The sequence below is a fragment of the Homo sapiens genome, chromosome 14 (assembly GCF_000001405.40).
Source record: "Homo sapiens chromosome 14, GRCh38.p14 Primary Assembly".
In the NCBI taxonomy this organism is placed as follows: Eukaryota; Metazoa; Chordata; class Mammalia; order Primates; family Hominidae; genus Homo; species Homo sapiens.
The window spans coordinates 24,828,000-24,851,734 of record NC_000014.9 but is presented as its reverse complement, the minus strand read 5'-3'; the positions used below and the strand labels follow the sequence as shown (position 1 = coordinate 24,851,734).

Below are 23,735 nucleotides of genomic sequence, written 5' to 3'. Positions count from 1 at the left end.
TACAGTCTTTAGTTCATATGGTTTGGATTTACTTCTTCTGAAATGGTGGCTTTTATTTTCTCTGTGTTTATTGTAAACAGAAATGATGTTATACTGTTATACGTGTGATGACACATTTGTACTTCAAAGGTGCCTCAAAGGAGTTAATAACGTGTTATTAGACTCCACAGGAGGGACTTGCTTTCAGCTAATTCATTTCAAACAGATGTTGAGAATGATGGTTCTGTTGCAAGGACAAAAAACCAAACACCGCATGTTCTCACTCATAGGTGGGAATTGAACAGTGAGAACACATGGACATAGGAAGGGGAACATCACACACCGGGGCCTGTTGTGGGGTTGGGGGAGGGGGGAGGGATAGCATTAGGAGATATACCTAATGCTAAATGATGAGTTACTGGGTGCAGCACACCAACATGGCACATGTATACATGTGTAACTAACCTGCACGTTGTGCACATGTACCCTAAAACTTAAAGTATAAAAAAAAAAAAAGAGACGTGGTCTGCCTCAAATAGATTGTCAGTATAGATTAACGGGTATGCCATATTAGGTCAAGGTCCCAAGGAAGACTTTGTTACTTTACTTACATCAGTATTCTTTAAACGTGAGCAAATCCCACATGGCTCCCACATTGCTATTTCATTTGTGTTGACCAATTTATAATGATTACTGTTGGCCTAGTATTCATATGCCTAATACTGTGAACTGTAGAAATCTTTGGTGATACTGGCAATTTCTATATTAGAACCACAAAGTAGGTTCTTTGCAAACCCATTTTCTTTTTCATTAAGAGGTATAAATTATTTGCAAGAAAAAATAATTTATTCTTCAAGATAAGCATAAACTGAAGCATATCCAAGCCTTTTACTTGAACTCTGAGCCCGAATACCCTAGCTAACTCATTCAGTTCTCTCTTAACTATTTCACCTGTTGTATGTCATCCTTCAGTGATCCCACAATCATTTACTCAGCGCTATGTAAATGTGCTAAACTAGCTGTGGAGATCCAGTCACACAGTAGGCACCTTCACCAGCTTGACTTACTTTCTGGACATATCAGATGTAAATAGACGTGAAACATTGCCATGACAGTAAGGGGATGGCTGAGCTGGAGGTTAAAGGATGGTTAGCAGTTGCCAGACAGACAAGGGCAAGATGAAATTAGCTCTCTCTTATTGCAACAGTTAATCCAGACAATTTTATTTCAATGTTAGCTGTATTCAGAATTTGAATGTGGCAGATTGTTTTTTCACAAAGCAGGCTATTTTGAAGTGCCATATATTTTCATCATCATCAAAGGGTATTTCTTAAGCATTACGCTTCTATGCACAGCCCTTCAGATGATAGTATAAAGCCCAGACTTCAGAGCTCTATTAGAATTCTAGGGACACAGATGTCTCTGATGTCACCTTCACACCAGGCTGGCCCTCACTTGCCCCTGCTGATTGGTATGCTAAAGGAAACCCAATGGCTTTACTCTGGATTCCCCCAGGATAGGATAGAATCTCAGGATTCAATCAAACTGTGACTTTGTTTGTTCTTTTCTTCCAAACAATACAAAGTCATCCCTAGGTGAGGTGTGCAACTATTTCACCTTGTGCGTGTCCCAGGCATGGAAAAAAAAAGTGATTGGTGTGGTCATTCTTAATCCCAATATATTAATATAGTACTTTAAAGGAATCTATAACATTTGCCATGATTTTTATGTTATTTTTCCTTCTGTTTTAACTCTGTCAATGAATAAAGACTTTGGAGTGTGAACCTCACACTCCTACACATGCTGCAACCAGGGGTGCATTAGAATGAATTGTTTATTTCTCAAGAATAAAGTCATGTATAATTTTTCCCCTAGGGATCAAACTTCAATATCCTTGGGAGATGCACGCACACATATTAGAGATTATAATTCACAGAGATAAGTTGTATTAACACCACCATATGGTTGCTTCTTGATGCCTGAATGTAGACACAGAACAGCAGAGGAGGCCAGGCTTCTTAGCTGATTCACTGTTGTGACACTGCAGTGAAATGTTTCTTATAGTTCTTTAAATCAACAGGAATCCATGGCATAGTTCCTCCAGTGACTATTTTTGTTGCCCTTGGGAAAATAATAAACTTCAGTTTCCTCCACCAAGTACAGATGAGGAAAATGATTCATGAGGAACTAGCCCAAGATCCCACAGCCATTAAGAGATACAGCTGATGTTTCAGTCAAGACCTGCTACTTAGTCCTCATCTATTAAATGGAGACCGTGACTTCCACGTTCCCTTAATAAGCACAAGTCTTCTTTTCCTTATATCCATTCAGCTAAGCAAAAGGGGGGATGACACCAATTTAACAAGATCTTTGTGTGAATTCAGTTGAAAATTATGTTTGAAAGTTCTCCGTAAATTATGTTACATAATTATATTAATCATGTACACACACAGACTTAGCCACTCTTCCATCACTCCATCCTCCTCATTGCAGCCAATATATCTTTTCCTAGACAGCATGATATTTCATTTAAGACTTGTCTTAAATGAAAGTTCTTTCAGAGAGAGAAAAAAACTAAGACTAAAAGCAAAATAAAAGCATCAATACAAACAACAGTACAAATATTTAAAGCATAGAATCAGAAAAGCCCAGTTTGGAAGTTTTGTGTTTTTGTTATTGGGACCCCAGCAGTGTACCCACTGCATCAAACACAAATGTTTTTATAGTCCTATGTGACCCATCAAAGTAACCATCTGATATTGGCTGAGCACTATTAGGGACATGACATTCAGCAGAAACTGTGAGATGTTTTTGGATAGGAATCTTTCATGTATTTTTTAAGTTGAGGATGACATTACTAGTCATCATGTTTTGTACGTGTGTGTTTTCTCATATTTCCTCATTCAGCCATTCAACCTCATGTTGTTCCCAGAGAGGTAGATACTTGTATTTTAAGTGAAAAAATTAGAAGTAACTAAGGACTACTTCCTTAGGTTCCATCCAATTCTGTGTGTGATATAAATGACTAGAAACTAAGGAAAAATGGGTCACAGATGCAATTTTTTTTTCACTGCTCATTGGCTGTAAGCTACGCTGAAATGCATGCTGTGAAACAGCTGGTGGGTTATAGTTAGTCATCCTGAGCTGGGAGTGGCTTTGTGCATTAAAATGCTTTTGAGTCATATCTCTTCATCAAAATTTTGTACCAAACCAAGACTTACGTAAAGGTACTTCCAAAATACCATTTTTGTCTGGACAAGGATTGTAAACATGTTTTGTCTATGCCATGGTTAAATAACCTGCAGTAGATAAGAGCCGTTCCTATTTTCAGAATCAACCAGAAGACATAAATATACAGCTTGATCTAGAAGAAAAGAGCACAGACTGGATTCACTTACCCTTCTCTTTGACAGCATCACTCATTAGCTGTGTAACTTCATCTGAGCTGCTTAAGTTATACTCAGCATCTCTATGCTTTTCTGTGTCATGGATACAACATATGCCTTGAAGGGATGACATGAGGATTAAAGTAAATTATAAAGGGTTAAATCAAATGGGATTTTTGAAAAATGCCAGTACATGCCTAAATATTCTATGTTTTTAAACACTACAAATATGCATATTCATAATATTTCATGATTTCTCCCAGCATATTTATCAAAAGCCTTTTCTTCTGAAAGAAGCAAGGGAATATTCTTGAGCTTTCCTAATCTGTGTTAGCCATAAGAATTGGGGGGAAAAGAATTTCTTTGTTCCAAGTGAGAATGAGCTGAGCTATACTATAGATATTTCAAATGTCTGGGATGCTGAGTTGTTTGCTATGCTTTATAGAATGCTGATTGTGTTGCATTTTATGTTTGACATTTATAGAGTGCACATGTTACTGCTGACTTAACCAAAACAACAATGTTTAAAATATATCAAGTAACACTGTGCCAGAGATCAGGGCACATAATTCAGATCTTCCAGTGGGAAAGAAAAAAACCTAAAACATGTTTTCTAAACTTTACAAGAGAATGGAAATATTCCTTTTCCACCAACATGTCCTCAGCCTAGAACAATTCCTTGAGTCCACCTCTTTCTACTTCCAAAACTAGAGATAATATGAGTCAGAGGTAAAATTACTTAACATTGTTAGACATGAAGTGGTAGTTCTGAAACAGACATAAAAGGCATTCTGCATTATGCTCATACATTTAAATTTACAGACATATGAAAGTTTTTTAAAATTTTGGGAGACATAAATTTGCCAACCATTTTCGAAGGAAGGATGTTTTCTAAAATCTTTACATCTACTGTCATCATAATTTCATAAAAGAAAGTTTAACATTAACAATAAAAGATAAAAGGATGTAATCTCTGAGACTAAAGGGGCTGTTCTTAAGTTAGAAACATTTACCTTTATGAAAAGCTTACTTCATTGTGCTTATTTCACGTAGGCAGTAAAAACTCTACCATCCACTGGCATTTAAAAGCTGTTGTTCTGCTGTAACATAGAAGCATCAAGAACTAAAAAGTACATGGAATTTTAGTGAAGAGAAGCTGTAAATTCTCAAGAACAATAACACAGCTAATGAGTGATGCCATCAAAGAGAAGGATAAGTGAATCCAGTCTGTGCTCTTTTCTTTGTCATTTAGTAATTTGTCAAATTCACCCCCACTTCTGGGGAAGCCATTCAGAATACACACTCTTTGGAGAGCAGATGAGAATATAATCTTCAAGGTTGAAGGCTATAGTCCTATTCCATACCTGGAATAGAGGTTAGAAATTTGAGCATAGTATATGAGAAACTATACAGGAATATGAGATTTCTAAAACCTTTAGTGAAGGGGTAAATAAAATGGTCTTTTTTGTTCACATTATATGATAAACTTCTAAAAATTTTAACCATGTTTCTGATCATTAAAGTAAGGTTGAATAATAAGATTTAGCATAGGTAGTTCTTTGAAAATTGGACATTGATTTAAAAATCTAAAGTTGAAAACTTCAAATTTGTAGGAGCAAACATTCCTTACTTATCCTTCTACCTGCAGTGTACCTACCCAGGACTAGGTTCATTGCAAGAAGTTAGAGCATTAGAGTTACCAGATTTCACCAATAAAAATGCAGGACATGTTACTTGCAGCATATTTATACTAAAAAATTATCCATTATTCAGCTGGAATTCAAATTTTGCTGGATGTCATTTTTATCTGGCAACCTTTATGGACATCCACTCTCCCAGTTTGTAGCCAGCCAAAACAAATATGGAAAACAAAGAACGTTTATGGTATGTAGACAAATAAACCTTATGGTGGCCAAACGATTATAAGGGCTTTGGGAGAATTTGAGATGGAGATCTCAAAGGCATAACGTGTTAGTCATTCAAAGATACAAACAGAAAGAAAAATATGAGACAGGCTGCTAAAGGGATATTCAGAGAACTTAGAAAATTAGTGTTATATTGTGGCTATTCTACATAGAATAATGCTGTAAAATGCAAATTATAGGTAGTAGGAAATACTAGAATTTCACTAAAGAACTTTTATAACTGAACATCAAATTCCTGGTTAATTTTGCGGGAAAGATAGTTCAGTCTTGAGTCAGAATGTCTTTGGCTTGGTTTTCAGGAGTTAGTTTATTGTTAATAATAAAAGGAGCCTGCCATAGACTCTTGGGGGCACCCAGCAAAACAAAGGCTCTCATTCACGGAGGAAGAGGGAAAAGCTTACATTGCAAAGAACTCTAAGATACATTGTCTTTCAGTTCTGGACTCCAGAAACCTAAAATCAGTGAGTAGGGCTGTGTCCTTCTGGAGGCCCCAGGGAAGAATTTGTTTCCTTGCCTTTTCCACCTTCTAGAAGCTGATTATGTTCCTTGGTTCATGGTCCCCTCCTAAATGTTCAAAGCCCCCAGCATCCTCAAATCTCTTTCTCTGTCTCTGACACCCCTGCCTTCCTTTGTGTTTATATTGTGTCCACCCAGGTAACTCAGCATAATCTTCCCCTCTGGAGATACTTATCATATCTGCAAAGTCCCTCTTACCATGCACAGCTTCTGGGGACTAGAGTGTGGACAAGTTTGGGAAGCCATTATTCTTCCTACCACACCATTTTCTTAAACAATTCTGAAAGCTGTAATATACTCTATTGTGTAATATTGTCCTACATTTAATTTTTTATAAGATATACTTTTATATATGTCCTATAGACTATATTACTTCTGCTAATCTGTTCTAATTTCAGACATTTAAATTTAGAAGCACCTAGACTTTTTATGAAGACCCAGTACTTAAGTGACTAAAGGGGCTTGCCATGTTCTGTAATATCAAAAAGTTCCTTACTTTAGCAGCTGGTATACTTCTACCTTGGCTCTTTCTCTTTACTTAAGGGATTTGTTTTCCTTAATAATTACATGGGTTTTTTACACATTTCTTAGGGTACTTGATAGTTGAAGCTTTTGATGGCCAGGCGCGGTGGCTCATGCCTGTAATCCCAGCACTTTGGGAGGCCAAGGTGGGCAGATCACGAGGTCAGGAGATCGAGACCATCCTGGCTAACACGGTGAAACCCCATCTCTATTAAAAGTACAAAAAAATTAGCCAGGCCTGGTGGCACATGCCTGTAGTCGCAGCTACTCGGGAGGCTGAGGCAGGAGAATCGCTTGAACCCAAGAGGCGGAGGTTGCAGTGAGCTGAGATCACGCCACTGCATTCCAGCCTGGGCGACAGAGTGAGACTCCACCTCAAAAAAAAAAAAAAGCTTTTGATGATGGAGATATTGAAAATCAGTTGATTTTGTTAAAAATCATTCTTTTCCTTGATATGTCTCTTCCCTGTCTCCTCCTAAAATCATCATAATGCCCCACTTGTAAATAACTTGGTGGTGTACCTCTTGAGAGATTAACAATTCCCTTTTCAGCTTTAATAAAAGATGTCAAGGTCAAGTTTATTTAATATATAATCATTACAGACAAGTTCACATTCACTGGCTGGATTTACCTCTTTAATTCAATATACATTTAAAAGTGATTCAACATGAGCACCTGAAATGCAGTTTCCATGTTAATTTAACAATTTTCTGTATCACTTAGGGTATGTAATCCCTTCACTATACCGTTGAATTATTGTTTTTAGGATCTGTTTCTACTCACAGAACACTTCTGACACCAGCTATGTGGGTTTTCCACACCAAGTAACTCTCCAATTCTCTGGAGCATCAATTGGGTGCCCTACAATTTAATCCAGTTCTGGCACTAACTACCCATAATTAGTGCAGACCCTGCTGGTTAAGGGCTCAGTCCCACAGGACTACTCCCCACTTCAGATGCCAGTCACAAGTAGTGGGTCCTCAGGTTACCCGTACGTCTGTCCGACTTGGCTACAAATTGGAGGTTCCCATGATCTCTTCCTCGGGTTTGATAATGTGCTATACCAGCTCACAGAACTCAGGGAAATCCTTTACTTACATGTACAGGTGTATTATAAAGGATATTATAAAGAATGTAAATGAACAGCCAGATGAAGAGATACATAGGGCAAGGTCCAGAAGAGTCCGGAGCATAGCGGCTTCTGTCCCCATGGAGTTGAGGTGCGCTACCCTCCCTGCCCATGGGTGTGTTCACCAGCCTGAAAGCTCTCTAGATCCCATCATTTAGGGGCTTCTACTGGGGTTTCATTACCTAATTATGATTGATTAAGTCATTAAGCCATTGGTGATTGACTGTATCTCCAGCCTCTCTCCCCTCCCTGGAGGTCAGGATGAGGGGGTGGGGCCGAAAGTTAAAACCCTCTAATCTCATGACTGGTTTAGCAGCCAGTCCCCTAACCTCCAAAAGTCACCTCATAAACTCAGGTATTATTGAAGGGGGCTTATTACAAATAACAAAAGATACTACTCTCATTCCTGTCATGCAGGGAATTCCAAGGGTTTTAGGAGCTCTGTGCCAGGAACTGAGGGCAGAGACCAAATATATATTCTTACTGTGTCACATGTTGTTTATAAATCTTGTCTTCCTGGTAGGATGTGGTATGATGTCATTAAAAAGATAAAGGCTTTCAATACACAGATCTGGGTTTGAATTTCTGGTCTGTCACTTACTGGACAGAGCAGGTCTGTTATTGGTCTGTGGATGAATTACTTAAACTGTAAGCTTCACTTCCTCTTTTTAAACAGAATACTAATGCTTGCCCTGTAGTAAGTTGTAAGGATTTAACAAGATCATATATAAAACATATAGCATGGTGCATAGGGAGTACCACGGAACATCGTGAGCACTCAGTGGGAGCTTATAATTAATGTCTTCTTTTAATCCTGTCTTCCTGTTGTCCTGCCTTCCCTCCTGTTAAGGGAAATTTGTATAGAACCTGATTTCTCCCTGGACACAGGAGTTAATGGAAGTAGAGAAACATGGCTTTGAGTGTCCCTTAGGTCAGATACAGTAGAAGTACAGTCGTCTGTATTTATATGTATTTGTATTTATATTTTTCTTGCCTTCCAGGAAAAAAGCCTGTGAATGCTAATAACACTGATAGTCACCATACTAAATCCCTACTATATACCAGGCAATTTTTTAGTTTACATTTAACTACAAAAAGTAGTTATCGTTATTCCTGCTTTACAGGCGAAGAAACTGAGCCTCAGAGAGGTTATTTATCTACCCTGAAATCATATCCATAATAAAGGTCAGTGAAGATTTGATCCCAAGTCTATCTCCAGAATCTGTTCTTTCCCCCTGCCCCATTAGAGAGAGAAAATAGAAAAATTCTTTCTTCAGTGGTCATTAACAAAATAATTCCAAAATTGTGACTCCCCTCTTTTGGGCCTATTATACTTCCCAGCTCTATCCATTAAAAGCTGAATAAATGCATGCACAAATAGCTGGATTTCTCTCTGATTAAGATTAAGTAAAACTGCAGAAGTTTTAAGCTGTAATGCAGATAACAGATACAGCCACTAAATTGTTACTTCTTCTCAACCCTTTTTTTTCCTGTTAAAAAAAGTAAATTAAAATTTATCATTTGGGGCTATCTAATTTCAGGTAGTGAGTAAATAAGAAAGTCTGTCAGTAAGGCATAATCATCTTTTCCTTTGTTTGCTGGTTAAAAAAAAAAGAGAAAAGTAAGTATTACCTTTGCTGGGCAATGTAGAATTTTTGGATTCTTGTGTTGATAAAAATGAATGTTTGGGAAATTGAATATTGGAGCAGTTTGGCATTGTAAATTTGTATTTTGAGGCTCCTTTAGCTCTATCACATGGTATCACAGTACCATGAATAGAGGAAATTAAAAAGAAATAGCCATTTTCAGGAAAAAGAAAACATAAGTATATCCATAAACCAGAAACATAACAGAATCACAAAGCAATTATTAGGATTAAAGCTGTTGTCTGCTGGATTCCAGGTCTGGAAGGAAGAAGTTTGAATTCCATGCTACTATAGGGACTACAAGTGCACCCATGCAAAGTGTGGATATAGGAGCTAGATTTGCTGCTTGGTACCAAGTCTTCTTAGCCCAAGAAAGGAGTTTACAAATACGCTGTGACCAATTGCTCCTTAGGGAAGTGGCTTATAAGAACCTGTGTTCCAGAGAGGCAAGAGAAAACAAACATAGTCTCCCACCCAAGACCTGGATCCAACTGGCCACTAGCCTGGGACTGACTCTGCCATATCCCACATGTTACCCAGAACAAGAGCCTCAGACCATTACTTTAAATCCTGTTGTACCAGGGACCAGCACAGGAAATAATAAAACTGTTACATAGAAAGAAAAGGTCAAGGCAATGAGGAGAAGCAGGAAGAAATTTAAATCTCCCACTGAAGAATATTGTGCACACCAAAATTCTACATGAGAAAGCCAACAAAAATAACAAATGAGAATTGAATTCACCCCAAATGAAATGAAAGTAACAATGAACTCCAATAATGACTTTAAGTACATTTATGATACTCAAAAGATAAAGGAAGAAATTAGAAAAAACGTTAAGATGTTATAACACAGGAACTAAAATGAAAAGACAAAGTGATAGAAAAAAATAATCCTGGAAATGAAAAATGTAGTCTCTGAAATAGACTCATTTGATAGAATAAACTCTAGACTGGCCAGGGTCAAAGACAGAATTAATGAACTATAAGGTATTAATGAGAAATTCACCCATAATACAGTACACAGCAATGAAGAATATAAAGGATGAGTTGTACATGGAAGATAGAACAAGATGCTCTACCATTCATCTCATAGGAATTTTTAAAGAAGGTTTAAGAATGGCAGAAAACCAGTATTTGAAAAGATGATGGCTAAAACTTGCTGAATTGAAGACTCAGATTGAGAATATCACCAAGTGCCACACTTGAAAATAAAGCTTTACCTAGAGAAAAACATAATGCAATAGAACACTTGGGACAAAGGGAAAATATTAAAAGCTATTAAAAATACAGTTTTCCTACTGTGGAAGGATAAACTGATGGCTTGTTCCCAGCAACAAGAGATGCCAAAAGTCAATACATTAATATCTTCAAAGTTCCAGAAATAACTGTCAATCTAGAATTCTGTATCCAGCTAGACTGTAATATAGATGTAAGAGAAATACAAAGATATATTCAGAAAAGCAAAGACTGATTATTCACCACCTCTAGACCCTTGCTGATAGAAGTATTAAATGATGTGCTTCAACATGAAGCACACTGAACCCAAAGGGTAGGAGTGGAGTGTAAGAAACTGTAACGATTGCAAACATGGTAAAAATACACTGCCAAACTTAATTGTCTTAATGATTATTTTAAAATTACTTGGAATGTTTTCTTGAAATAACTGGAGATAAAATTCTAAACAAAAGTAATAAGGAATACATGCTGTATGTTCAATGGATAGTTAATCCATGCTAAAGTTCATTCCAAGAAGGATAGCTACTGAATTAATTTGACAGGAAAAAAAAAAAAGCAGTTACATTTGTTAGACTTCTAGTTTTAAAATGATAGAATATAAAGGATAGTCACCTCTTTTCTTGAAAATTATCCAAAATCAGCTCAGAGAATTTATGAGGGCAAACTCTATCTCTGATGAAATGAGTGTCTGTCTCGAATTACAAACTCCTGTATGTGGGGAAGAGTTGACAAATGCAGTAAAGGTGAAGGTAGATTCCCAAGAGAGAACTCTCATACCTGCAGTCTCAGATAAAGCCTAAAGCCCTCAGAATGAAATGATCCAAAGTGTGTGTCAGTAATCCCTTCTTTAGAACAATGGAGCAGAAGCCAGGAAAGCTCTGGGAGTAATGGGCCCAAATTGGCACAGTGCTGGGACAAGCAAGGCAAGAAGGCTAAACAAAGAATCACACTGTCAAAGCCATGTTGTCAGGAATCAATCTGTTGATGGGCTAAAGTGGAGGAAAGAATCTGAATTCCAAGCAATCCTGTGGTCGCATCTTGTTGAGGAAAAGTAAAGGCTCAAGAGGCCTCTGTCACATACACAGCCCTGCATCATAAGGAGAATGCCAGCTAGCCTGGAAAGTAGTCCTCTTCCCTCCTCAGTACCATGAATCTCCTGCCAATAGCTGTTCACCTTATTTTCAAATCAATGATAATCCCAAAGGAACCAGCAGAGGTGGTTCCATCACTCACCATAAGTATATCCTTGGGCAATTTATAACCTGTCTAAGCCATGGTTTTTGTTTTTTGTAAAATAGAGTAGTAGTTCTCCCATACAGTACTGTGGGGAGGATTAAATAACATAATATACCTGAAACACTAGGCATGCCTAAAACACTAGCTGTAATATACCTAAAACATATCACATGATAAGGAGTCAGTAAATATTTACTGATGACAAAGATCAGCCAGGTGGAATTCTCAGGGCTGAGAACTGACTTGCCTTCTTTGTCCTCTTTCTCTCTAGAAAGCGGTGGTTAAGAACACAGATTCAGTAGCAAGAATTCTAATTCAAATCCTACATCTTTTATTGCCTACCATTATGATTTCAGCCAAATTATTTAGCTGACCCTCAGTTTTCTCATTTGTAAAGAAGGGATAATAATAGTACCTATCTCCCAAAGTTGTTTTGAGGATTAAATGAGTTGTCACAGAGCACTTTGAACTTTGAACAGTGCCCGGCGCTGAGTAAATACAGTACATATTAGCTATTAGTACTTTTCTTTTTCAAGAATGACAAGTCACACAATATACAAGATTACCATACTTTTTGGGTTTTTAGGGACAGTCACCTCAGAGATGTGATTATTCAAACACAGAATCAAATTTGACTAAATTTTTTTTCAAGACGTAGGGTATAATGTCCTGTTGCTCAATTGTATATTCTAAATTTTGATTAGGAGACTATGGGATAATGTATCTATAGATCATGAACCAAATTCTCTTTTGCTTATGGTTAGTCCTTTTTTAAGGTAAATGAACAGCATGTGTTGTATGAATTGGTGATGTGCTGGTACCAACCAGTTGTGATAACTTACTAGTTACAACCCCAGAGCAAAGATCCACAAAAGAGAAAGGAATTCCATTCCTTTCTCTCCGTGTGGGAAATGTCAGATTAGGACTTGAACAGCTTGCTGCTGATCTTTTTGTTAAGGGATGCTGTCAACACAGATATGTCTAAAATTAGAGATCAGAACAGAAGGAGGGCAGGCGGGGACAGACAATGCAACTTTCACTCACAATCACAGAACTCAACTCCCGTGTAGTTGCTTGGCCAGGCTCCCAGTTGAGAAGGGAGATTTTGTAATGTTTCCAGCCTTCATTTTATGGCCTGTTGGACTTTTTATGATCTGGGCTCTCTTTTACCTTTTTTAATGGTTTAGGTTTTTTTTATTATTGTTTCATATTCTTTAGCCTGGTTGACTTTTTAATCTCAGCCTATAGAAAGCATCACAATTTAAATCTCTTAGAAATTTTCAAATCGATAAGAAGTAGCAGGAATTAAATAAGGAAGGGCAGTTGAGTTGTCTATGAATGTAGCTGTTTATGCTCAATCTTGCTCACTCTCCCTCAGAACATTTCTAAAAGGAATTATTAGCCTCTAGGTGCTTAATAAGACATGAAAGGGCCCTTAAGTTACTGGCCATTTTTTCTTTTTTCTCTTTTTTTTTTGAGACGGGATCTCGATCTGTCACCCAGGCTGGAGTGCAGTGGTGCGATCTCGGCTCACTGCAACCTCCATCTCCCGAGTTCAAGCGATCCTTCTGCCTCAGCCTCCCGAATAGCTGGGACTACAGGTGCGAGCCACCACGCCTGGCTAATTTTTGTATTTTTAGTAGAGATGGGGTTTCACCGTATTGGCCAGGCTGGTCTCGAACTCCTGACCTCATGATCCACTGGCCTTGGCCTCCCAAAGTGCTCGGATTACAGGCATGAGCCACCACGCCCAGCCTGGCCATTTTTTTTGAATGTCCACATTTCCTCCAATTCCACAGTTACAGACCACAGCAGATATGTTGATGCTTATTTAAAAACCAGTGAAGCTTGCTGGGCATAGTGACACACACCAATAATCCCAGCATTTTGGGAGGCCGAGTTGGGTAGATTGCTTGAGCCCAGGAATTCCAGACCAACCTGGGCAATGTGGCAAAACCTCATCTCTACAAAAAGTACAAAAATTAGCCAGGAGTAGTGGCATGCACCTATAATCCCAGCTACTTGGGAGGCTGAGGTGGGAGGATCATTGCTATGCACTGAGATCGTGTACTGCACTCCAGCCTAAGCAACTGAGTGAAACTCTTTCTCAAAAAATAAAAATTAAAATTAGAAAAAACAGTGAAGCTCTCAGTTGGGAAACTGAATCTAGATCTTTGATCAGAATTTAATAAGAAGGAAAGATTCTTTTTGGCAGCCAAACTCCAGGAGATTGTTAGCTGTTGTTCTTCCTTTCCAGTTGTTATTTCCAGCCATCCACAGCTCACCAGGGCATCTCTGACACTTACCCTCCCTGGAGATGACTCAGTCTGGCAGACATCTCTTAGGATGGGAAAGTCTGAGAGATGTTCATACAGCTTGTCGTGTTAGAGCTGTATCTTAGACCCTTTTAATTAATAGTAGTATTATATGCCCTATTTATTGATTGACTCTTAATTTTTAATTTTGCAGAGATTAATTCTGTCCTAGCCTTTGCCGAAATGAGCACAAGTTCCTGTAGCAGAGCTCTAACTTGACTGGGATGTTAGGTGTTCTATGTGTACTCAGCCCCAAAGTCCTGGGACCTGAGAGTTCCAACCTGCTAACACAGTTCCTCCTGCCCATCACTCCCAAAACCACAGAGCAACATTTTGCTGGCTATTTTTTTTCCTGCTTTTGACTAAAGCATATACACAAATGTGTCCACAGAAAGAGCTTAACTTGTGATTATGCAATTTGAGAATATAGTTAGGTAGCAATTTCAGATTTCAAATAATGGATATGATTCTACCCCCGAACTTAAGTAAAGAAAGATGATGCTACTAGCTTCTTAACAAGAGTAATAATTTAAATACTTTGATGAAAATAGTTGTCTGGTTGGCCTTTAAGTTTGCATAGTTCTTACACCACTTTTCATCTTTAAAAATACAAATTTTCCTATGTTCCACAGAACTTAGGAATTTGTCCTATTTTCTTTCATCCTCCCTGCTGTTTCTACCCCTTGTTTTAGATCATTTGTGTCAAGTTACATTTATTCAAACTATTTGAGCAAAGCATTCAATTACTTAAAAAAGGAATAGAAAAAATTGCAATGCCATATATACTCTGTAACCTCTAATAATTATGTCTGTATCACCTAACATATGAATTAAAATATTCATGTTCTTGATGTCTTTTAGTCCACAAAAGGAAATGATTACTACATTTTGTCGAACTAATGCCAATTTGATGATATGTTAAAACATTTAGCTTGCAGCTGCAAGTTAGTAAGGCATATAAGGTAAGGCTTTAATTATAGATCTATCCTGCCGTAAAAGTGCTTAATTAGAGTCATGAAAAATCTTACTTGAAGCAGGATTTTTACTGAAGATTTAAAGAATTAAGAAAAATCTCTTTTTCCATTCATTTTTCTTTTTCTTTTGTTGATTTTTATCCATCCTGCTATCCTACTTTCTTCCTATTACAAGGACTAACATAGGGAAAATTTAGTCTGTTAATAGCTACCCTTTTGACTGGTTATTGATTTTCACTTCTTTTTTTTTTTTTTTTTTTTTTTGAGAGGGAGTCTTGCTGTGTCACCTAAGCTGGCAAGCTAGAGTGCAGTGGTGTGATGTCAGCTCACTGAAACCTCTGCCCCCTGGGTTCAAGCAATTCTTCCTGACTCAGCCTCCCAAGTAGCTGGGATTACAGGCACCCGCCACCACACCCGGCTAATTTTTGTATATTTAGTAGAGATGGGGTTTTCACCATGTTGGCCAGACTGGTCTCGAGCTGCTAACCTCAGGTGGTCCGCTCGCCTCGACCTCCCAAAGTGCTGGGATTACAGTTGTGAGCCATCACGCACAGTCTGATTTTCACTTCTGAGTTGTAAATTTTCAAACGCTATTTATCTTTAGTAGTTTGACTAGGTCTTGAGTCCAAAATAAAATATTTTACACTTACAAAGTCTCTTTCTGTACTGAATCAAGTATTACCAGTATTAAAGGCATGTTGCCAATCATCTTATTAAAAAATCAGTAAAGTACCAAAGTGTGAGTATGATTTCATACACACCCTGAAGGCTATTGCTCATTAACTAGTGTTGCCACTGGCTGTCTTGAGCAGCAGTGAAAAGAGTGAAGTGAGAGCTACTGCCCTGCTTCTCCCTGCAGCTATTTCTGGTCCCCCTAATAGTCATGGTGACTACAGTGTGCAGTAATGCTTGTTTCCTACAACATTTACCTTAATGACTTCTTGTTCTTTTGGTTTACCCATAGATACATTTTTAATATGAAGGGAAGTAGAAAATGGGTGTCTCCATCCACAAAGATGGACACCTCTTTTAGGTAAGAGAAAAGGAAAATGGCACTATGGATATCGTTATTAAGCGTAGCTATGGTTACAAGTCCAAAGCAGAAAATAGGATATTTATATTAATATTTTAATCTGTACAGTCTACTTTGTTTATTCCAAACCACAAAATTAGACTTGATACTACCTATTTTTTAATAGCACCTACTTTTTTGTTCTTACAGAGGTGAGGAAGAAAGAACTTCTTAAAAAATAATATTCCATTTTAAAAAATTAGATGATCTATGTTTATTTTTGCTTTTTAAACAATATTCTAAAAATCTTTAAGTGGCTAATTTTATTCATTACATACTTCTAGGATACATGTATGAAATTCCACCCCTCTCACCCTCATATACAAAAACAATGTCATTGACTTGATTTGTTTTTGTTAAATAAACATTTTCAAAAGTGTCTTCTAAATCTGGGTACTCTCCTCAGAATGTGTTGAAATTAAGAATATCACCTCTTTTACTGGTCAAAAAACACTCAATTATGGTGCAATAACAAACACGGCTCCGGGTCTCAGTGGCTTAACAAATAAAACATTACTTCTCACTCGAAGAAGATCTGTGAGTTTAGTGCCGCTCTAGAGCAGCTTCTAAGTGGTGATTCAGGGATCCAGTTTGCTTGCATCTTTGTCATTTCACCATCTTGACACATGCCTTCCAGATTCAAATTAAACACGGAAGAAGAAAGTTGGAAGGCCGCCCAGGGTCTTCTATTACCTCAGCCCAGAAGTAGCACTTATTGCCTCTGCTTAGAGCCCACTGGCCATATGACCAATCTAACTGTAAGGAGGTCTTAAATATATATACCTTCTATGTATTCAGGAGGAAAAACAAGACACAACTTTGTGAACACCTAGCACTAGTTCTGCCAAACCCTTCATGTGTATCATGGAAGAAAACTCTTGAGAAGCACTTTTTGAAATTCCCAGTCTCAAATCAGATAACTTGAATCTGATCTTATCATCAGACTCTGCCTTTCCCCCTTTAGAAATCCATAATACATAGTCTGCAAACAAGTCATCTCTACCAAGCCCTTCTCCCCCACAGGTCTCCCTCAGTGTCTCTTAAAACTCTTCTTTTCCATTCCCATCTTGACTCTCGTAGTTCGGGCCATCCTCATCTTTTCAAGAATATTTACAATGGTCTAATCACTAGTACCTTAATTCCTCTCATTATTCCCACCCCAACCAAATCATCATTGTTTCTTCAGCACTGTGTGGCCTCTCCACTTTGTAAGTTCCCAGGAGCATTAGCTTCTGAATTGTATGGTGTTTAAGAGTCACATACCTTAAAAGTGTGAGGACTATTTATTCCTCAATACCTAAGGATCATTCCCACAACAAGGATTTCATTCCTCAATATCTAAGGATCTTTCCTACAAATAATGCCATTTATAATTGAAAACCCAATGAGTGGAACACTAAATATTTTTAAATTGGCAGAAATATTTATCTTTTAGGTGTGATTCTGTTAAAATTTGAACCTGTAAGTTGGCCAGAGACAGAATATACTAAAAGTTTATTCTCTTAGGCTGGGTGCAATGGCTTACACCTATAATCCAGCACTTTGGGAGTGTGAGATGGCAGGATTGCTTGAGCCCAGGAGTTTAAGACTAGCCTGGGCAACATAGCAAGACCTCGTCTCTACAGAAAATTAAAAAATTAGCCGGTTATGGTGGTGCACATCTGCAATCCCAGCTACTCAGAGGCTGAGATGGAAGGATCACTTGAGCCCAGTAGGTCAAGGCTGCAGTGAGCCATGATCGTGCCACTGCACTCCAGCCTGGGCAACGAGCAAGATCCTGTCTCAAGAAAAAAAAAATGAGTTTTCAATTATGGATCATTTTTCAAAGTGGTATTTAAACAGAGGAGGTGTGAAAATCGTGCCTTCCTCTATATTCTAAATGGAATAAACACAGGAAGAACCAAAATCTGTTTTGGTTTTTTTACTCATTTTGTATGTCATCTTTTTCACACTAGACCATAATAACAATTTTGGAAATAGTGGTGTTTTTATTGAAAACAATTTTTTCCATATTAATCAAATATCTGCAACTTGATATATTTTGTACATAATTATATCTTTGATAGAATTTGTTTTAAATCCTCCCAAATTAAAAAAAATGCTGCATAACTGCAATTTTATTTGCCATGTCCAGAAGTTGATCCTTTCTGTATGCTGATTACAATAGCACAACCCAAGATGAATGCCAATGAAAATAAGGATTTAGGTATAAATAGTAACCTCATCACATCCTTATAAAACCAAATATATCTTCCATTGTTTATCAGTTCACTAGCCATTCAACATACCACTATTGTACACTTACTAATTTGTACACGTTTTGCCTGGAGATAACAAAAAATGAAGGGATTATTCTTGTAATCAAGAAGCTCCTAGTTTAATGAGCTGTACAAATAAGTCAACCAACAATTTTGATGCATTATAATAAATGCTCCATTAGAGAAATGCAAAGGGTGCTAGGGGAACATAGGTAGAATACCTCTCTTCCACCTCAGGGAAACAGAACCAGATTCCTACAAGAGGAATTGTGGCTTAGGTAACCAAGCTCATGAAAGGGGAGGAGACATCAGGCAGAGGAAAGGAGTGTGCAGGTGCCATGCTCATATCCTTGGTGTAACTGCAACGTCATGAGGCTGGGGTGAATGCAGATCCACTCCCTGTGCTTTCACATTTCACCTCACAGGGTGAACCTCTAAGAAACCATGGAAACTCTCATGATATGAAAGAGAAGACTGATGTTTGGAGTCAACCAGACTGGAATTCAAATCAAGATTTCTATCACACAGTGTAATTTTAAGTGAGTTTCTGAGTTTCATCATTTTAAGAGAGAAGTAACAGTATCTATCTTAAAGAGTAGCCATTAGGACTAATAGGATAATGAATGAAAAGTATTTAGCATCATTTCTGGCGCATGGTAGTCACTTAGCAAATCGTAGTTTCTAATAATAGTACAAATGGAAATGGGTTGCATTTGGAACCTTGATAATAGACACCAGATATACAGTTGGTTGGTCATTCTTTCCTTTGGTTTGTATCTTGTTAATATGAATTGAAAATGTTTTTGTTTAAAATTATTCAGTGTGGATTAACTCCTCTATGTAATTGATAGTAATTTGATTCCATTGATGATAATTGTAGTGGATTTTAATGACCAGTTGGCAGGAATTTTTAGAGCATCCTTCTTGGGAAGTAAAATATGTCACAGGAATTCATTAGTAACCAAACAAGATACATGGAGACCATAGAATGACTAATGAATAGTCATGATACCCATTGGGATTTTGTATCAATTTCAAAATTGACACCAGAGAGATGGTAAAAATTCCCCTACGACTATCAGCTTGGACAGAAATTGGACTTGTGTTAGCATATCCGCTCATTCACACCAAATACCCAATCTGTCTATGAGGTGAGGTTCTCAATTTCACATTCACCAAATTAAAACAATAAGTGATGCTCAAGCTCATCTGGATGCCAGCACAAGACAGTCAGAAAGAGAAGCTGTAGTTCAGCTGTCTGCTGAATTCTGTTGCCCTTGATGACAATGTCTAAAGCAATAATGACCCAAACTTGAAATTTATAGATTTCATGATAATGAAACCAAAGCTAGGTAGTATTGTATATTGAAATCATAAACTGGCACATGTGTACATGCTCAATGGGGCGAAGTTCTCCAAAAGATAAGGGTAGTGCTTTCAAAGGGAAAATGAGCACAGATGGTTTTAAGGAAATTAAAACCCTCAGCTTCCATATATTTTTTTTAATTTTAGAGAATATTCAAGTAAAAGGCTTGAAGACCTAGAGTAAGTTGAAAACCTCACTGAGCTCTAATTTAGCAAACGTGGCTTCTAGGCCAGCTCTGTTACCTCGGGTGTGACCTTGAGCAAATCCTTCATTCGCCCCTTTGACCACAGTTTTCTGTCGAGGAACTTGACCCCTAAGTTGCTTTCCAATCTCAAACAATGGGGGTGTGAGTTTATTTTACATGAGCAAATCATGCTGCACTCCCAGAGAACCTCATGACTTCAGGACAATAGGTTTGAGATAGAATTTGAATTTGAGGTAAAACTTCTCTAAGAACCAATTTGGGCTGGACACATCCTAAATGTTGCATACATATTTTTTTAAATCAAAGAGTACAATAAATTCACTTTTTCTTGCTGTAAAGGATAGTAAGCCTCATACCTCATTCCTTACTCCTAGAGGTTCAAACAACTTAACATATTATTGTCTTAGTACAAAACCATTCAATTTTCCATCCTGTGTTAATAATTTAGCCTTGGTGAGCTTTTTCTCCTTGGCAAGCACTCACTGTTATTTTCCACCCTTTTTATTTCTTATTTTAAAAACTTTGTTACTTTCTTGCACTAGCCATATAATGCATGTGATATATGGTCCTGTACTCTGCTTGGTACCAAGTATACAAATGGGGATGAGACACAGTGAAGGAAATTTGTAAAATTAACTGTCTAACTGGCTAAAAAGACACTTAAAATGATAATTACAATATAATGTATTGAATGTAGTAATAGAAACATAAACAAAGTTCCAAGGAAATGAAGAAGCACAAACTTCTTTTTAAATTTTGATGAAGTTTATCTATTCTTTTGTTGCTTTTACTTTAGGTATCATAACTAAGAAACTATTGCTTAAACTAAGGTCATGAAGATTTACACCTATGCTTTCTTCTAGGAGGTTACAGTTTAGCTCATCTGTTTAGGTCTTTGATCTATTTTGAGTTAAAGCTGTATATGGTATAATGTAGGGGTCCAACTTCACTCTTTTGCCTGTGGATATGCAGTTAGTTGTCCCAGTACCATTTGTTGAAAAGACAATTTTTTTCCATTAAATTGTCTTAACACTCTTATAGCTGCCTCTTTGATATATTGTCCTGACTTAACTTCCATTGTGCCAAATTCACCTTGCTTTTTCAGTTTCCTTAGCAGGTTCCTTTACCTTCACCTTACTCTAAATGTTAAGATTCTTAAAGATAGGATTTGCAAGCCCCTTCCCTTCTCTCTTTCGTGTTGCTCCCTACAGATGATCCATTCCCATTCTGTCTCTATGCTAATGACTTAGAAATTTTATCTCCATCCCCAGACTTCTCCGCAGAGCTTCTTACAGGAATATCTGTTTGACTTACTGACTCCACTTGGATGTCTCATAGACAACTTAAGCATACATAACCTTATCCTAAATGAAATACTTGATTCTCATATCTGTTCACCCTCCAAGAAAATTTGTTTTTCTGACAGCCTTTTTTATCTTGTAAATTGCACCACTATTACCTACCCAATTGCTCAAACCAGAAGCCTGGGATTCACTCAGTATTCTTCCTTTTCCCTCACCTCTCATATTCAGTCCATTAATATGTATCTCAAATCTTTCCATACATCTCATCTCACTGACATCATCCTAGTACAGGCCACCTTTATCTCTTACCTGAATTACTGCAATAGCTTCTTAACCATTCTGTTTCTTTTCTTTCTCCTATTCCCAAACTACCACCAGAGTAATAATTTCCAAAAATTATCTTGGTCCAGATTACCCCTATTTTAAAACACTCCAATGGCTTCTGCTTGCACTTAAGATCTCTCATTACCATGGTCTATAAGCCCCTATCTAATCTGCCTCTTGCTTAGCTCTCTAGTCTCTTCTCAAGCCACTTTCCCCCTTCTATGGCCACACCAGTGGTCTTTCACTTTCTAGAACACATAAAGGGGTTTTCCCCTTTCAAATCTTTGCACATGGACTTTTCCCCAGCTTATCATCACACACAGCTTACGTCTTCAGATATGGCTTTCAAACTGATTCTAAGTCAGTCCCTCTTCCCTTGAATATACTATCACAGCACAGTGTTTGTTAACAACCTGGAAAATTATTGTGTTTCAGCAATTCAGTTTTTTTATTATAACGTATTTTTTACACATACACACCCCTACACATATTTTTTTAACCATACACATCCTGCCTCCTGTTTCTAGACCGTAGGCCCCTTGCCGGTCATGGGGTGGGGACAATGTGTGTGGAGAGTATGTCTATTTTGCCTACAACGGTGTTCCCAGCCTGCTGCTGTGCCTATTGCAAATAATAGGTAACCAAAAAAAAAAAAAATAGTTCAATGAATAAACAAACCAGCAGGGAAATGTAAAAGGTGGAATGACATCTGATGAGTATGAATTACTAGGTGATTATAGAAGGAAAGTACATCAATGGTTGAGTAACCAGTGTCTGCAAAGTCTCAGAGGCAAGAAAAGAGATGTATGGGTAAAGATGCTGATTATATTCCTTGGACACTGATGGGATTATATGCATGGAAAGGAAACACTTTTATTTGCACTTTGTTTCATGCTCAGTTTATTAAATATTTCTACTAAACATAATTTGAAAAGTCAAATTTTCTTAAACTTTTATAAACATTGTTTATGAAACAGTTCATGAAGTTCTCTTAAACAATTTAAACTGCAATCACAGTTTAATAGGACTGATTATTTTGACTACTTTAGATACTTTAAACAGACAAGACATATGCAAAAATAATAATTACAATACTTAAAGGAATATTATATTTAAACCTGTAATGAACAAGCAACACCATAGGTTTAATTTCTCTCTTCATTATTTATTTTCTTCTTCATAGATCTTTCAACTTTAATCAAAGTGCTTATTTTCATATTTCCTGAGTCTAGAGGATTGAGTTGGCAATCAGTTGATTTTTAGTGGGGGCACAGGGGGCACAGGGCCTGGTTTATTCTCCCAAGGTGATTCAAACTTGAGTCCCTGAGTATCTCACTGGGTCTTCATGGGAACCTCATGTTTCACCTCAGTAGCACCGTTTAAGCCTATATTCTTCACATACGCCCAGTGATTTCAACTTGACGGGTTTTCTCCCAAAATGGTGCATCCTTTACATTGCTTGGCCAGCATTACATAATTCTCTATGTCATTCTTGTGCATCGCTCTTGTATATTAGCATTATTGTGAACATACAGGCACCTTATTAATATCTAATTATAATTTGTCACGTTGTCTAGAAGTTTCTTCCCCTGGGAGATGCAATCTGATCTGAACAGATAGCCAAATTTCTAAAGAGGAGAACACATTCACTACTTTGGAATGCATCGTCATTCTTTCTACCTAGTGGATATGTTTGACCATTAATGCTCATTAGTCCTTTCTGTAACTTTCTGCTCTTTCTGAAATTCTTTGGCTTACTCGTAGTTTTCTGTATTTGCCCATTGCTACTCACACAGATAGAGACAAATACATACATTGGTATGTAGATAAATACTTAAACAAAATACCCAGATATTTTAATATTTTTTACTAATTAAAATCAATAAAGCATCCAATTATAATCAATTTTGTTTTGTACTTCATTTTTGTACATTTTATGTTAACTCTCTTGTTTTATCATTAAGAAATTATGGCTTCCACGAAGTCATATACAATTACTGTAATTATCTTTATTGTGATAACTTTTGTTACTATTGATGTTCTAAATATCACATCAGTGATCTTGCCCAGTGATCTCCTTTAAACTGCTTTCTTTTTCATTTTAGCACTGTCCCTGTCATCTTTAGAGGTATCCTTGCTATCTGGCAATAATAAGGTATTTTAGGCCTATTTGAGTTTTCCTTGCCCAAAGGCTTGGAATCTGCTGCTTCCCAAAGAACTTTGCTTTCTTCTAGCAGAAAATATTGCTAGACACCTAAATCTGAGTGTGAGGCTTGCATTTCAATACTGATGCTGGAAAAAAAAAAAAAAGTGCTACTGCTGATGTCGGAACACCCTTAGGG

The 23,735-nt window shown here is 37.3% G+C and overlaps 1 protein-coding gene across 28 annotated transcripts in view; it reads left to right on the top strand.

Moving 5' to 3' along the window:
- Positions 1-23,735, top strand: part of STXBP6 (syntaxin binding protein 6) — a 240,694-nt gene that overhangs the window by 198,413 nt on the left and 18,546 nt on the right. The window lies entirely within an intron of this gene.